Raw genomic sequence first — 16,998 nt, 5'->3', positions numbered from 1 at the left:
TTTCAGTAGAGGTGGGGTTTCGCCATGTTGGCCAGGCTGGTCTCGAACTCCTCATCTCAGGTGATCCATCCACCTCGGCCTCCCAAAGTGTGGGGATTACACGTGTGAGCCACCTCGCCCGGCCATTTCTCTAGTTTCTTAAGGTAGAAACTTAAAATTTGATGCCTTTTTCTTTTCTAATATAAACATTATGTCCTGTAAATTTCCCTCTAAGTGATGGTATGTATCCAGCCTCCTTAGAGGGATCTATTAACGTACTATCAGCTTAATAAACTTTTTGCATAATCACTATATAGAACATTTTACTATTAATTGATCTTGTTACTGATTAGCTGTTTTTCTTCTAATTCTAAGATAATTTTTAGACAAATAAAAGAAATACTGCTTGTTTTAAAGTTTGGGGCCTGTATTACTCTTAATCAATATTAAATGCCTAAAATCAACAAGAAAAACTAGATATTAAAACATTTACTTTTTACCTGAAATTTGAGCTTGCTTTCCCCTCCTTCCCGGTCTCGTTTATGCATATTTACCATTAAAGCTTCATAACAATCCTTCCAATAAAGTGCCATGTTCTCATGACCATCGTAAAATGTATGAGCTTCATACTGCTTCATATAAGGTACAATCTTACCAAAAAAATAAAAAAGATACATAAAATTTAATATATGACTTCACCTCTATAAAAATGGTAAATTAGCAGAAAAATCTTGATCAAAAAAGATAAAACTTACATATTTTTCAATGTAAACTTGCCATTCATTTGAATTACAATATTCTTGAAAATCTTCAAAAAATGAGGAGCTACCATTGGTAAAAGGTAAAGAAGGTAGGTGCAAGTTCATGAAGAGAAGCTCATAAATTTTGGAAACCAGGGTACGAACAAGGGGAATCAGAAATGAGTAGATTTCAGTCTGTTCCTTGATTGATTGACTTAGAACATGTTCCAGCTTCCCTAAAATGTAACATGCTTCATCCTGATTTTCAATCACTTTGGTCTGAAGAAGGGTATTTAGCTTAGCTGATGCCATTGCACAAACCTGGAGGAAAACAGTTTAGATGAGAAAGAGCAGACTAAAGCAAACATTTAGTGAAAGCACAAGTTCTGCCTGGCTCTGTGGATTCAGAATTTTTACATAACTGTCAAGAACTGTGAAAGGTCTCAGATGTTACTTTGCCTCCAAGCTAAAGGGTTAGCTGCTACAGTTTCACAGGTATTGGCAGAAGACACAAGACTCCTGAGTCAGAGACCAAGATCTACAGCAATAGCAGTAGCCAGAGTATCAGCATTTGCATTGTTTTCTCAAAGTGCAATTCCCACAGTGAGAGATGAAGAGGACTAGATGATGTCTGCACATGTAGACACATTTTAGGAGAGAAACCACCAGTATAAAGAGAACCCAAATCTTTTTTTTTTTTTTTTTTTTTTGAGATGGAGTCTCACACTGTTGCCCGGGTTGGGGTGCAATGGCTTGATCTCGGCTCACGGCAACCTCCACCTCCTGGGTTCAAGCGATTCTCCTGCCTCAGCCTCCCAAGTAGCTGGGATTACAGGCGCCTGCCACCATGTCCGGCTAATTTTTTGTATTTTTAGTAGAGACAGGGTTTCACTATGTTGGCCAGGCTGGTCTTGAACTCCTGACCTCGTGATCCACCTGCCTTGGCCTCCCAACGTCCTGGGATTACAGGTGTGAGCCACCGTGTCCAGCAAAGGGAACCCAAATCTTTTATACCGGGCAGCAAACTTGTCTGATTTTGCTATGGAGGGAGACATTATCTTTATTATATTGGATAGTAAACAAATCTTCCCTTTTCTCTGGAGGAAGACATAACCTCTATCTTCCAAAGTTGCTCATATGAACAACCTCAAAAATCTAGTTCATAACAAAGGCAGCCAGAGTCACTATTCAAGATATATAGAAACACAAGAGACCCATGGAGAACTGTCTACCAACAATGGCTGTAGGAAAAAGCACTCTCTTTCTCTGGATATGAAAGAAGTAGCATACAGCCCTAATTGCTATTGGCAGCTGTTCTGTGTCCATAAGGGAAGCCAGCTTAACACAAGCTGACAGATGATGGAGAGTGGTGCTGTGAGGACAGCAAATAAATGGAACTGGAGCCCTGACTGAATCCTGCTTAAACTCACCTTAACTATGAAATTCTAAACTATATGAGCAAAAAAATCTTCTTAACTAAGTCAATTTGGCTTGATGTTTCTGTTATTTGAAATCAAAATATTTTGATACATAAAGAACAGGTATACAGGAGTCCAAGTCCTTGATCAGAAACCGAACTACCCTTAAAATTCCCGAGTAATATACATAGTCAGGGCACAAGCCCAGACAAAGAAATACTGTATACTACTACTAAGCTTTGGCCTTAATCCCCAGTGAGGAAAGGTAAATTAGATCACTAGGGGTTTCCTTTTTCCTTGGCTACAGAAAGATCTAAGTCTTAAAATTAAAGCAGGAAAAATGACATATTGTGACTCCTTCTCCCTTAACCCTATATCCTCACTTGGATCTATATTACTTCCCAAATAAATAAAAGCAAAATAAAATTAAAAAGTATTAGAACCTGAAACCACTTCAAGAATGTATTTGTGCCAAAAGCTGGTCTGCGCTGTACACACAGGTCTTTGCAGGATAAGGCAACAAGAGACTTCAGGTACTCTTTCCATGTAAATCTTAGCAATGTAAACAGCATTGGAGGAAACGATCTCTAACATGACTCAAAGCTCTGACTTCTCTACCCTGCTCATATTTTCCCCCAACCCATCCCTCTTCCCACCTTTTAGTTTTTGAATCCGACTAAAGGAACTGAATTCCAAGAGTCCAATAAATTAAAGAAAAAAAAGTCATACAATCCCTACATCCAGGAAATACCAATGTAATATTATGGGCTTTTTTTTGGTATGTGTTTAAGAAAATACTATTTACATAAAAAGTTAAATATCCAATGTTTTGCTTTTAACTTAATGTCATTAAATTAAATAAACACTAAGTTTACACATTTATTTAAAAGTACCAAGGTACTTTTAATGAATATAAGATAATTTACTTGACTACTGCTTTAATTTTGGATACTGACATATTACATACATATATTGCTTTCTTTTCCCTCATTATAAATAGTCTTGCATTAGGGTCACCTGAGGAGTTACAAAAAATACTGATGCCCAGGCTGGGCATGGTGGCACACACCTGTAATCCCAGCACTTTGGGAGGCTGAGGCGGGCAGATCACCTGAGGTCAGGAGTTTGAGACCAGCCTGGCCAGCATGGCGAAATGCCATCTCTACTAAAAATACAAAAATTAGCTAGGAGAGGTGGCACATGCCTATAATCCCAGCTACTTGGGAGGCAGAGACCAGAGAATCACTTGAACCCAGGAGGCGGAGGTTGCAGTGAGCCGAGATTGTGCCACTGCACTCCACCATGGGCAAAAGAGCAAGACTCTGTCTCAAAAACAAAAAAAAATACTGATGCCCTAGTCTCACCCCATTCTGAATTAATTACTATGGGTGATGCCCTACATAGGTATTTTTAGAATGCTCCTCTAGGTGATTTAATGTGCAGCCCAGGGATGGGAATCATTGGCTGAGCTAAGGCAACAGGGGGAGTAGGGAACAGGCTAACCGGAGACACTATATACAACTAAATGAATCAACAACCATGCAGTCCTATTTTTGAAAGAAGCTGGGAAATCTTAGTTTTTATGTAAAATTTTTAATACTTAAATACTGGCAATTAATTAACATGTATGAGCCAAATAAAACAAGTTTGCAGGCAGCTCTATTATAACCCCTATACAGAAAGAGGTTCCTGTTCTAGCCTTTAATGTGTACAACCTCAGGGAAATATGTTTTTATTTCTGAGAGAATAAAATTACACAATAGGCTAGTGAGAAATGTTTTAGGTCACTAACCACTAGTAGACAGAATCAGTCTCATCTGGGCCAGGTGTGGTGGCTCACACCTGTAATTCCAGAACTTTGGGAGGATGAGGTGGGCGGATCACATGAGGTCAGGAGTTTGAAACCAGCCTTGCCAACATGGTGAAACCCCACCTCTACTAAAAATACAAAAATTAGCCATGTGTGGTGGCACACGCCTGTAGCCCCAACGACTTGGGAGGCTGAGGCTAGGGAATTGCTTGAGCCTGGGAGGTGGAGAGATTGCAGTGAGCCGAGGTTGTGCCACTGTACTCCAGCCTGGGTGATAGAGCTAGACTCCATCTGAAAAAAAAAAAAAAAAAAAAAAAAAAAAAAAATAATAATAATAATAATAATAATAATCTGTCTTATCTGTAGGTGCTGTGCTTGTACTTATAAAGCCCCTATTATGGAATGGGCACTGAATACTTAATTGTGAACTAAATAAATACACATTTTGTTTAGGAAATTTCATCAAATTAAAAAACACTGAGGGTAAACTACAAATGAAAGAAAAAAAAGTCCTAACATCTAAAATAAAGAACTATCTAGCATGCTAACTGCAACTACTTTAGCAGTCATTAGGCTAAATTTAATGAAAAAGCCAAAAAGGCTATCCTCATTCTACTTCTAGGTTGAAAAAAAAAAGAATACTATAATGAACATCTATGTGTATAAAGGTGGTTCTGTATTTTATTTTAATTAATTAATTAATTTATTTATTTTGAGACAGAGTCTTACTCTGTTGCCCAGGCTGGACTACAGTGGCATGATCTCGGCTCACTGCAACCTCTGACTCCTGGGTTCAAGCGATTCTCATGCCTCATCCTCCCAAAATGGGGTTTCGTTATGATGGCCAGGCTTGTCTCAAACTGCTGGCGTCAAGTGAATCCACTCACCTCGCCCTCCCAAAGAGCTGGGATTACAGGCATGAGATACTGCGCCTGGCCAGTTTCATATTTTAGATATTACTTTAGAATTAGTTTCAGAGTAGAATTACTAGACAAAGAGTATAATCATTTTTTTTAAGTTCTTAGTTCATATATTTAAAAATTGCATTTAAAAGTCTGTATAATTCAAAATTCCACCATCTGTGTACTTTAATGCCCATATACTTGTTTAGCTTTTCCATATTTTCCAAGTTTTCTACAATTGAATATGTGTTACTTTTAGGATGAAAGGAAAAAAAAACCCTATTAGTAACACAGGGAAATGAGTTTTATATAATAGTAAGAAAAAGAAAAAACACAAATCATCCGAAAACATGACATCTGAAAAAGATATATTCATAGAACAAGAAAGAAGTAACGTACTAAAATGCTAATAGTTATTTTCTCTTACGTTATGCTGAATTATTTATTTTTTCCTCTATGCTTTTGTGTATTTTCTTTTTTTTTTTTTTTAACAGAGTTTTGCTCTTGTTGCCCAGGCTGGAGTGCAATGGCGTGATCTCAGCTCACCACAACCTCTGTCTCCCGGGTTCAAGTGATTCTCCTACCTCAGCACCCCAAATAGCTGGAATTACAGGCATGCGCCAGCACGCCCGGCTAACTTTTTTGTATTTTTAGTAGAGACGGGGTTTCTCCATGTTGGTCAGGCTGGTCTCAAACTTCGGACCTCAGGTGATCCGCCCGCCTCGGCCTCCCAAAGTACTGGGATTACAGGCATGAGCCACCACGCCCAGCCGCTTTTGTGTATTTTCTACAATGAGTATGTGTTACTTTTACAATGAAAAATAAATATCTATTAAAAATAGAATTACTTCTATGCAGCATTCACAATAATATAAATAAAAATAAAAAATAGAATCATCAGACTATACTCCTTTAAAAATAGAGTGACCGGGGGCAGTGGTTCACACCTGTAATCCAGCACTTTGGAAGGCTGAGGTGGGCAGATCACATGAGGTCAGGAGTTTGAGACCAGCATGTCAAACATGGTGAAACTCCGTCTCTACTAAAAACACACAAAAATTTGCCAGGCATAGTGGCAGGCACCCGTAGTCCCAGCTACTTTGGAGGCTGAGGCACAACAATCGCTTGAACCTGGGAGGTGGAGGTTACAGTGAGCCGAGAGCCACCGCACTCCAGCCTGGAAGACACAGAGACACTCTGTCTCAAAAAAAAAAAAAAAAAAAAAAAAAAAAAGGTGGGGGTGGGCAACCTGTTGTCAGAATTTTAACCTCTCCATGTTCTTATTAATATTATATCTAGTTTATGTAAATCAGAAGCCAGACACACTCCAACCTCCCTGCACCAAATAAAAAAATGGAAACATCAAAATAAAATAAAAAGGGCCAGGTAAATAGCTGTGAAAATCTTATCATGACTAATCTAACCCAGGTTCTCACAAGTACCATATGTAACTAGAAAAGTGAGAGACTAAAATTCACATCAAACTTTTTCAGCCTTTTCCATTTTAAATTTAAAACAGAAATAATAAATATTCCTTGTGACCAATATTTATCTTCATATCTAAAACCTAGCACAATGCTTAGTACTTTGTAGGTAGTGTGTGATAAATAAAAAAAAAATATGAGATAAAATGTAAAATTGTGAATTAGTAAAATAGCAGAAAAAATTTAAAAGGAATAATTTAAAAAATAATTTTTCTAAAAAATTCAAGCCCTAAACTGCACATATATAAACAGTCTACACAGGCTACCTAGCACCTGAGTAGTTACATTCAATACAGATGATATGAGCAATGTTTCTAATATAAGCTATGTATAAATCCTGTAAAAGGAAGCCTTAAAATTATATAAAGTTATTAATATCAGGAAGAAATAACAAATTAACTGCCTCTCAAGCTCCTCAAAACTCCAAATGAAATCATGGATACTTTTAGAACTAATGAAAAACTTAAAATACCAAAAAGACATTTTAACTGGCTTGTTACATAAATAATACCTATGCTGCATGCAAGCACAGAAAATAATATAAAAGAATGGACAAACCTGCAAATTACCCCTTCCAATGAATCCTAGAAGCAACTGGATCTGAATTTGAGAGAGTTTTACCCATACTGGACTTTCAGAATAGCAGACTGACAGACAGTCAAAGAGCAGCATCATATCCTCTAAAAGCTATCACAAAGGAAAAAAATTGAGAAATAAAAACATTCAGTTTTTCAATTTACTGATGATCAATTTTCCCCAACATTAATACAAACCACAAATATTTCAAAAGCTAGTCCAATGTTCAGTTGACAAAAGCCAAAAGAATCATCCTAGTAATAGCTAACAAAAATCTGTGACTATTCATCACATCTTATCCTTGTTTATTGAATCTGATTAAGCATTAACGCTCTAAAAAGAGGGGGTGCAAAATTTTTCTTTGAATAAAGTTCTTAACTACCCAAAATATAATTTTAAAGAGATATTACTGCACCTTCTCGGTCCACATGTTTGAATTAACTAGTCCCTCTGACTGAAGAAAGTCCTGTATGATCAGCACTAGTCGGAAGGCGTTTTCAGCAGTTACTGGATTAGTTTTTGCTTCTCTGTTTTCTGAGATTGCCCATTCTAACATCTTTTGTAGCAAACTAAATGGAAAACAAAGTCCTCTTAAAACCATTGTGAGCTTAGAAAAACAGTAGGACATTAAAAACAAAACAAAATAGCTTGAGAGGCAGCACTGTATCTCTAAAGATATACTATCTCTAGCAGGTATCCCTAAGATACTGTAAATGGAAATTGAATTTTTTTTTTTTTTTGAGACGGAGTGCAGAGATCGCTCTTGTCGCCCAGGCCGGAGTGCAATGGTGTGATCTCGGCTCACTGCAACCTCTGCCTCCTGGGTTCAGGCGATTCTCCTGCCTCAGTCTCCCGAGAAGCTGGGATTACAGGCATGCACCACCATGCCCGGCTAATTTTTGTATTTTTGGTAGAGATGGGGTTTTGCCATGTTGGATAGGCTGGTCTTGAACTCCTGACCTCAGGTGATCCACCTGCCTTAGCCTCCCAGAGTGCTGGGATTACAGGCATGAGCCACCATGCCAGGCCTATAAATGGAATTTAACAACAATGGAGAAACGTTGAAATGTTTGGAGTATTTATCTTTAATATACATAGTATTAAAAGTCAAAAGTTTCCTGTTTTACTTGACTATAAAAAAGCTATGACAATAATTCATATTCCATCCTTCATGAGATACTTAAATTAGTTTCTTTAAAGCTGGAAATTGGCAAGGTTAGGGAAGAAAGCCTTATTATGCCTTACAGAGAGTCTTGCCCTGTGGAAAAAAGATGTAATACTTCCCCGGTGTACTACCATTACAGAGTCCTATTATCTACAGCAGGGGTGTCCAATCTTTTGGCTTACCTGAGCCACACTGGAAGAAGGACTGTCTTGGGCCACACATAAAATACACTAATGATATTTTAACGATATGTTTTAACAATAGCTGATGAGCTTAAAAAAATCACAAAAAAATCTCATAATTTTTTAAGAAAGTTTATGAATTTGTGTTGGGCCACATTCAAAGCCATCCTGGGCTGCATGTGTGGCCTGCAACCTGTGGGTTGGACAAACTTGATCTACAAGGAACCCTAAATCCTTCAGAGAAATAATTATCATGAAAACCCAACTCCGTTCTCTTAGCACGGAAACACTCAAATTTGGACAAGCCTGTAGAAAACAATGTATCAAGTCCTCAAATACTGCAAGAAAACAGTTTAAACAAAAAATCTGTAATCACTTATGACCCAAATTTACTTAAGACTTAAACCTCCTCATACTGGAATGAGTTTGGGATTCCTCTTTAGATCCTACTAATACGGCAAAAGATAGGAAAAGGAACTGAGCACAAAGTTTCTCTTTTTCTCCCTTGTTATATCCACAGAATACTGAATAAATGTTCAATAACTAACGTTATTTTAGACTCCTGCTGTCACCAAAAGGAGGATGGAAAATCACTAACTAAATGCTTACGTTAGTTTTATTTCATCTGATGGTCGAAGTAGTTCACTGGATATTCCTGGTTTACTTAGTGCTGAAAACACTTGTCCTCGTTCAATCCAAGTATCATCATCAGACTTTTCTAGTCCCTTACACATTACATAATTCAAAATATGTGTCAGTAATTGAAGAAGCTCCTCCTCACATCTCTATGGAAAATATAAAGTAATTTTAAATAACTAGAGGGTGTAGTTGTTCAAAGCACATCATAAGAACCATTACATATACTCATTGTAATCATTTAACATATTTTTAAAGTCCTTAATGAACCTGGAACTTTACTAGGCCCTAGAGACATAAGATGAGTAAGACATTAGCTTTGCTCTCAAAAAACTCACAATCTAGTGACTTCCAGGTTTCTAAACCTTAGATCATGAAACTTAGAACATGAATACAATATGAAATTGTTAACAACTGCTCACATATTTCTAAGGATTAGAAGTATATATCAGACATGAAAATAAAAACAACATTTGGAAAAATAAGCAATTTTACCTCTTGGCTTTCAAGTAAAGAGAAGTCATCACTAAAGCCCATATCATTTGTGATGCTGCTTTCTCTGTCAGAGTGCACAGAAAACGATTTAGTAGACTCTACTGGGGATGGTGTGCTAGGCAGACTGTCTGGCACTTGACTTCCACTATCACTCATTTCACATGAGTCAATTCCACTGAGGTCTAAACTCAAATGTGAAGGGTTACTATGCCAGAATTCCTCTTGATTCTCTGATTTGAAAGACAATTCTCCCACAGAGCTATCTTCTGGAAATAATGGTGTGTTTGAGTCTAAAGAGTGTCTATCCTCCAAACTCCACTGATCCGAAGACACATTAGCTGAGGCAAAAGAGGTGATTTTTTCCTCATCTGTTTTTTCATCAGAGTTCTTCTTGGTATCTTCAGTTGACATATTTTTATCATTGTCTTTCATTAAAACAGCTCTACTGTGCTTATGAAGAGTATTTCCGTTTTCAAATTTTGCTTTTAAAAAAAGCCTAACTAAGGTGTCTTGCCAACCCACTTGCTGTGATATTTGATGTGCTGCATCTGGCTGGAACTGCAAAATTTGCAAAACCTGTAAAAAGATTTAGAATACAAAATTCTTCAAAAAGTACATAGTACTTTATATCAAAAATAATATTTTCAGTTATTTTAATGATAAGGTAATTTAATGAGAAACTATAGAAGAATATACTTTCAAAAGATTATATTCTTAATTAGATTATAAACTATTTGGAAGACTGGCACTGTGTTTCCAACTAATCTCCATATTACTCATTGTACAGAGTAAGAGTACACTAAAATATCTGCTGGAAGATAAAAAAGAAAAATTAAAATGAATAGGATGATGGTATATGTTAAATAATAGAGTAATATCCTCTCAACTAAATACTTTCCATGAGCCCCCTACATTTGTTCAGGAAATATTATTGCACACCTACTATGTGCTAGGCACAGTTTTAGGCACTAGCATTAGGGGAGTGAATAGGACACATAAGACATTTTGATAGAAACTGAGTATACCAAGGATGTTTTTCTGTCTCGTTTTTTTCAGGGAAAGTTAAGTTTTTTTTTTTTTTTTGAGACAGGGTCTTGCTCTGTCGCACCAGTGCAGTGGTGCGATCTTGACTCACTACAACCTCCGGCTCCTAGGTTCATGCAACTCTCCTGCCTCAGCCTCCCGAGTAGCTGGGACTACAGGCACACAGCACCACTCCTGGCTAATTTTTGTATTTTTAGTACAGACAGGGTTTCACCATGTTGGCCAGGCTGGTCTCGAACTCCTGACCTCCTGTGATCTGCCTGCCTCGGCTTCCCAAAGTGCTGGGATTACAGGCATGAGCCATGGTTGCTTTTGCAAAAACTTTTTTGTTCAGTATGTCTACACTAAAGTCTACATTGCTTAGTAAGTCTATATTATACAAACAGAACAAAAACTAAACTTTAATTCCAGAAAATGAATTTCAGCAAGATGGATGCCACTGCTTAGCTAGAATAGTAAACAGTGACATGAGAATACGTATGATCTCTACTATCCAATTGATTAAAATTTTTAGATAAAAACAAGTTCTTAAAAAGCTTTAGACATTCAGTTAAGATCTTTTAAGACAATTTTATCACAAAGTCAATAAACTTCTATGTAGATGAAAAGAACTCTAGCTTCCAGGGTTTTGAGTATCTCTCTTAACAGAAGTTTTAGCTCTGACAATTTTCAGAGCAAGAGATGAACAATGTTGGTAAGGACTTCAATATTACTAGTACTAATACATGTTGATACAGAAGGCAAGGAGTCACAATGACGTGAAGATTCTTTCTTTATTAATACAATATCAATCAGTGAGCAACTGTTACTTTATAGGTGCAGAATAACAATTTTTTTCTTCCAGATTAAGCTTTACTTGGCAAAGAAACTTTTCATGCTGACTTTAAAGTTTCCATAAAATATGACTTATTTTATATCTATTTTATACATAAATAATAGATAAAACCAAGCTGCACTGAGAGCTGTTTCTAATTATACGTGAAAAGGAAAGGATCAATTTATATGACCTGCTCCAAATACTCAGAGCTAAGTACATAGGGAAATAATCACTGTCACACACACTGTTTGTATAAATGTAAACTGGTACAGTTATTTTGAAGGACAATGTGGAAAAATCCATCAAAATGTAAAACGTTAATACCCTTTGAAACAGCAATTCTATTTCATGGAGTATGTCCTACAGATGTATTACCACAAATTGGAAAACATAAAAAGACATTCATAACAGCAGTTTATAACATGGAAAAGCAGGAAACAACCTAAATGTCTATCAATAAGGAACCAGATAATACTTTATTAAATAGCCATACAATGAAACACTATGCATTTCCATTAAAGAGAAAAGGAAATTATACATATATATTATACAACAAATATATATATTTTTCTTTTCTGTCAGTTAAACAAATAAATTATATATGTGTGTGTATATATGTGTATATATATATAAACTCTATATATAGAGATCTCTTATTCTCACACACACATATATATATATATATATCAAGAACTGTGACAAAATCATGAGGTAAAATAAAAAAAAGAAAAGCAAGGAAGCAAATTAAATAGGTCAATGGTTACTAGTGGAGGACAGAGAAAGTTATGATCTGAAAGGGGAAGACAGGATAACTATCTCTTGACTTAGTTAAAGGTTAACTGTGTACTAAAGACAAATCATTGTTGGAATACTCCTAAACAAATTATAGAAAATTATTTCCAGAAAGTTTCAAAAGATTCAGAAACTCTATAATATGGTATATTAATTAGAAATGGTCACAATCATTGAAGGTTCTTAATAAGAAAATTATTCTCTGGTAATACATTTTTGACTCTGGAAAGAACATATTTGCAGGAGACCACGAAGAACTAAGAAAACATTCACATGCTAATTTCTTATGATAACATGAAGTTAATTTACTTCAAAAAGAAAATTGTTTACTTATAAAATTACGTCATTTATAAAATAAATGAAAACTTGTATCTGCTGCAAAATAATGCAAAGTTATTTATAGCATGATGGTGATGCTGCTATCATTAAAATATATCTTAAGAGTTTACTGACCTTTCTGCAGATGGCCACTCTAACATTTATATGTGCTCTGTGAGATATATATACCACAGATAGTAGATCTTTGAAATTAATAACAGGATCTATGGTAGGAAAAACAAAAAGTTAAAATTAAATACCAGAGATAACCAAAGAAAGAACTGTGGATAATACTTGTATAAAATGCTGAAATAATTATTTCATTTTAAAATATGAATTATAGGTATGTTCAAATTTTAAAGAAAAAATAGGTTTAGAATGTTTGACATCCTCCTGAGTCAACCCTAAATAATTGTTCCTTTTGATTGCTTGAACGTACTGTCCATACTGCATGGCTCTTATATTATTATTTATCTTTTTATATACATGTCTTATCAACAAGATTGTAAACTAATCAAGACAAAGAATCTTATATCCCCAAACTCCCAGCATCTGGCATAAATTCTACTGTCTGTCATTAAGTACTGAAAAAAATTATTTAAAAAAATTAGAAGCAGGGCATGGTGAAACATGCCTGTAGTTCCAGCTACTTGGAAGGCTGAGGTAGGAGGATCCCTTGCATCCAGTATGAGGCTACAGTGAGCTATGATCACACCTGTCACTAGCCACTGCACACCAACCTGGTCAATACAGCAAGACTCTGTTTCTAAAAAGAAAAACCAAAAAACCAGAACAAAACAAACAAAAGAAACAACAAAGAATATCTGAAATTAGTTTTCATTTGCCTTTAAAAATTTAAGCTCCTTAAGAAAAAACAATCTTTTGCACATATTTTCTGTAGTGTCCTTTTCTTGTTCCGTGGACTCACTTATTAACTTAATCACTTAGTCAATAAACATTTACTGAGTAAGGAACTGTGCTACGCCCCGGGGAGACAAAAACAACAAAACTACGTAAGATATGGTATCCAAGGAAGGCCCTGCTGAATCAAATAACAGATATTTTAAAAGCAGCCTGAGAAAGGTATGAAAAAAACTTACAGGAAAAAACATTTCTTAAATATGTTAGCTTTATTAGCCTTATTCATACCTGTATTTATGATTTGATGGGTGAGGTTTTTAATAAGAGAAGTATTAACAAGTGCTTCATTAAGAAGGAGTCCCAGTCCCGAGTAGCCAACTTCTCTGAGTCGAATATGTTGTTTACTACGCTCATAAACGTTCGTGCATTTCAACATTTGTTCCATAATCTGGTCACGACAAGTAATATATTCTCAATATAGAAAATTAAGAATAGTTTGTCATTTAACATTAAAAATGTTAACTTATTAACATTAAATATTAATGTTAGTATTTATTAGCATTAATATTTAATGTTAGTAAGTATTGCTATTAACTTATAGCAATATTAACTTATAGAATAAAATAATGCTATTAACTTATAGAATAAAACATGGCTATACTTTGTTTTTGGAGCATCATTTTATTCCTTAAGTACAAAAACTTCAGCATTAACCCATTTATGCCGGAGGTTGCAATTTTTTGAATTGCAGACATGTGTGAAAAGTCAGACCTTGGTGATGACCTTGAGCAGTGGGATATAAATAACTCCCAAATGCTTAGTGTTCCAATAATGGAACAATAGGCATAAAAGAATAGGCACTCCCTATTATAGTATAATGTAAAAATGGATTTAAGAATAAACTGGACTGGGCACAGTGGCTCATGCCTGTAATCCCAGCACTTAGCGAGGCTGAGGCAGGCAGATCAACTGAGGTCAGGAGTTCGAGACCAGCCTGGCCAACATAGTGAAACCCTGTCTCTACTAAAAATACAAAAATTAGCCAGGTGTGGTGATGCGTGCCTGTAGTCCCAGCTACTCAGGAGGCTGAAGCAGGAGAATCACATGTACATGGGAGCCAGAGGTTGCAGTCAGCCAAGATCACACCACTGCACTCCAGCCTAGGCGACAGAGCGAGACTCCGTCTCAAAAAAATAAACAAATTTTAAAAAAGAATAAACTGGACTGAAATTCATCTGTAGTTGTATAATTGGTATGCTTAAAACTCTAGTTTAATTACATGGCAAATTAAAGAGAAATAATTTAAAATTTTGTTTCTTAATGAGAAAGGCTTAGGTGGAAACAAACCATGTAGTTTGCAAGAACAAATGTGTGTCAGTACACCTCTGGATCAATCTAATAATCCACTTAAGTAACAGTTATTAAAATTAAAATAATTTTCAAGGATAAGTAAACATTTGTGAAGCAACTCTTCTATTTATTTTATAAGTTACTGATCTCTCTGGACTCAGTTTCTTCATCTGTAAAATGATAATAGTAATAATACCCACTTCATGAAGTTATTGCAAGACTAAGTAAGCCAATATATGAAAAGTACTTAGTTCCTGACATATAGTGGTTGCTACATAAAGTTTGCTATTATTATTAGCTGTTGAAATGTTCTGAATTGCCACATAGACCCACCAAGTCAAGAAGATGGGAGGTTTTATATTGAGGATGGTATGACAAAGTGAATATTCCACTGAGAGGATTTTCAGATTACAATATAATTAGTTTTTTAATATGCAAACAACTGAAACATGAAAACTATATATAAAAATAAGTTGAACATCTTAGAGAAATAGATATAAAAATAATTTATAGTCACAGAATGGATATATTGCAAGAAAATTCATATACCCACAAACGCCTCAAAATACAAAGATGTTTAAGAAATGTTTGTACCTTAAAAATGATTTCTCTTAGTCTGTCAGAGTACTTCTGATTTAAGAGCAATGCGTACAGTATGTCAGCATTTCCTGGTTCAAAAAGCAGTAAGAAAAGCTGACCTCTGGTTGGGCTGGTACGTAGGAGACTGAAGAGCACGTCCAAAATTCCAAAGAGCTTTTAAAATTAAACAACACAAAACAAACCACCACATTCATATATACAAGCACAAATAAGGTCATAAGCCACAAAAGTTATTTAATTAAATCCTATATAATGTTTTATCTTAACTTCACTATATCTGATATGATGTCTTTTTAAAAAAATTCTTTTGAGACAGAATCTCCCTCTGTCACCCAGGCTGGAGTGCAGTGGCGTGATCACAGCTCACTGCAGCCTCGACTTCCCAGGCTCAGTGATTCTCCCACCTCAGCCTCCCAGGTAGCTGGTACTGCAGGTGTGCACCACCATGCCTGGCTGATTTTCTGTATTTCTGGTAGGAATGGGGTTTCGTCATGCCGCCCAGGCTAGTCTCAAACTCCTCGGCTCAAGCGATCCACCCAGCTCACTGCACCTGGCCTCTGATATCTTTTGAACCAGATATGCTTTTGTCTTATTCAATTTCCTTTAGTATATCCTTTCACTATTCAAATTTACCTGTTGGAACCATATCTATCCTCTTTTATCCATATGAAAAGACATCTCCTCCATAAAGTCTTTCCTGGTCTTTGCAACATGTAAAACCCTCTTGGGAAAACCTCATAGAACTTTGTATCTCTCTTACAGATATTGTCATACTCTTCTTTGTTTATAGTTATTTGTAAACTTCTCTTATTGACCCCTGCCCCATTAGCTTAAAAGAATAATAATTCATCATTATATTACATGTAATGTCTAATATTATTGTGTGTAAACAGTAAGTCCTCAACAAATAACTCTTTAACTGAAATAACCAAAAAAAATATTGTTGGCAATGAATCATAGATACAGCTATCATGAAATAAGATGGGAATAATGAGAAGCTTTTGAGCGGCAACCTTATAGGGAAACAGCCTGCATTAACTCATCTAATACCGATAATGAAGTCATGTAACCACTGAGTAAATAATAAATATTATATATAGAGGGCAAAATAGCCTAGTCAACATAAATCTACTTAAATTTGTGGTATTGCGGAGGTTATACCAGAAGAGCACAAAAATGGCTCTAAAATGCTTTTTTTTAACATTTGGGTTCTAGTTTCAGGTTTATCAGTTGTGTGACTTTTTAAGTCACATAATCTCTCTGAATATAAATTTCCAAAAGCGTACATGCAAAAAGTAATTCCTGGTCTGTATATGTTATAGCAGTGGTTCTCAAATTTTACCACGTGCACGAGAATAATCTGGAGGGCTTGGTTCAGCAGTTGAATCAGTAGTATATCTGCATTTCTAACAAGTTTTCAGGTAAAGTTGGTTAGGGGCCAAACAAAGAGAACCACTAACTTAAAGGGTAGTTCTGAGGATTAAACGGGATAATGTAAGTAAAACTAGACACACATTTATAATTTACTCTTTATGTAATATTTTATTAACCTAGGTTAGAAATCTACCTACTAATGGCTGGGCATGGTGGCTGATGCCTGTAATCCCAGCACTTTGGGAGGCCGAGGCGGGCGGATCACGAGGTCAAGAGATGGAGACCATCCTGGCCAACATGGTGAAACCCCATCTCTACTAACAATACAAAACTTAGCTGGGTGTGATGCTGCGTGCCTGTAGTCCCAGCTACTCGGGAGGCTGAGGCAGGAGAATCACTTGAACCTGGGAGGCGGAGGTTGCAGTGAGCCGAGATTGTGCCACTGCACTCCAGCC

General features: G+C 36.0%; 1 protein-coding gene across 12 annotated transcripts in view; it reads right to left on the bottom strand.

Annotated features, from left to right (window-relative positions):
* The window catches only part of NBEAL1 (neurobeachin like 1), a 210,587-nt gene that overhangs the window by 79,555 nt on the left and 114,034 nt on the right, over positions 1–16,998 (bottom strand). For 11 of the 12 annotated variants that reach the window (XM_011511658.4, XM_047445554.1, NM_001378026.1 and 8 more), the window contains 9 exons: positions 15,164–15,322; positions 13,508–13,667; positions 12,494–12,582; positions 9,388–9,963; positions 8,866–9,041; positions 7,325–7,478; positions 6,892–7,020; positions 735–1,040; positions 480–629 (listed from right to left, as the gene is read on the bottom strand). In XM_011511658.4, coding sequence (XP_011509960.1) covers positions 480–629; positions 735–1,040; positions 6,892–7,020; positions 7,325–7,478; positions 8,866–9,041; positions 9,388–9,963; positions 12,494–12,582; positions 13,508–13,667; positions 15,164–15,322 — 1,899 coding nt within the window. Of the gene's footprint in view, positions 1–479; positions 630–734; positions 1,041–6,891; positions 7,021–7,324; positions 7,479–8,865; positions 9,042–9,387; positions 9,964–12,493; positions 12,583–13,507; positions 13,668–13,727; positions 13,732–15,163; positions 15,323–16,998 lie in introns of those variants that run through there. The other variant, XM_017004729.2, reaches the window with a different exon arrangement.

This window comes from Homo sapiens, chromosome 2 (genome assembly GCF_000001405.40).
Source record: "Homo sapiens chromosome 2, GRCh38.p14 Primary Assembly".
Lineage (NCBI taxonomy): Eukaryota > Metazoa > Chordata > Mammalia > Primates > Hominidae > Homo > Homo sapiens.
This window is presented reverse-complemented; position numbering and strand designations above follow the sequence as displayed.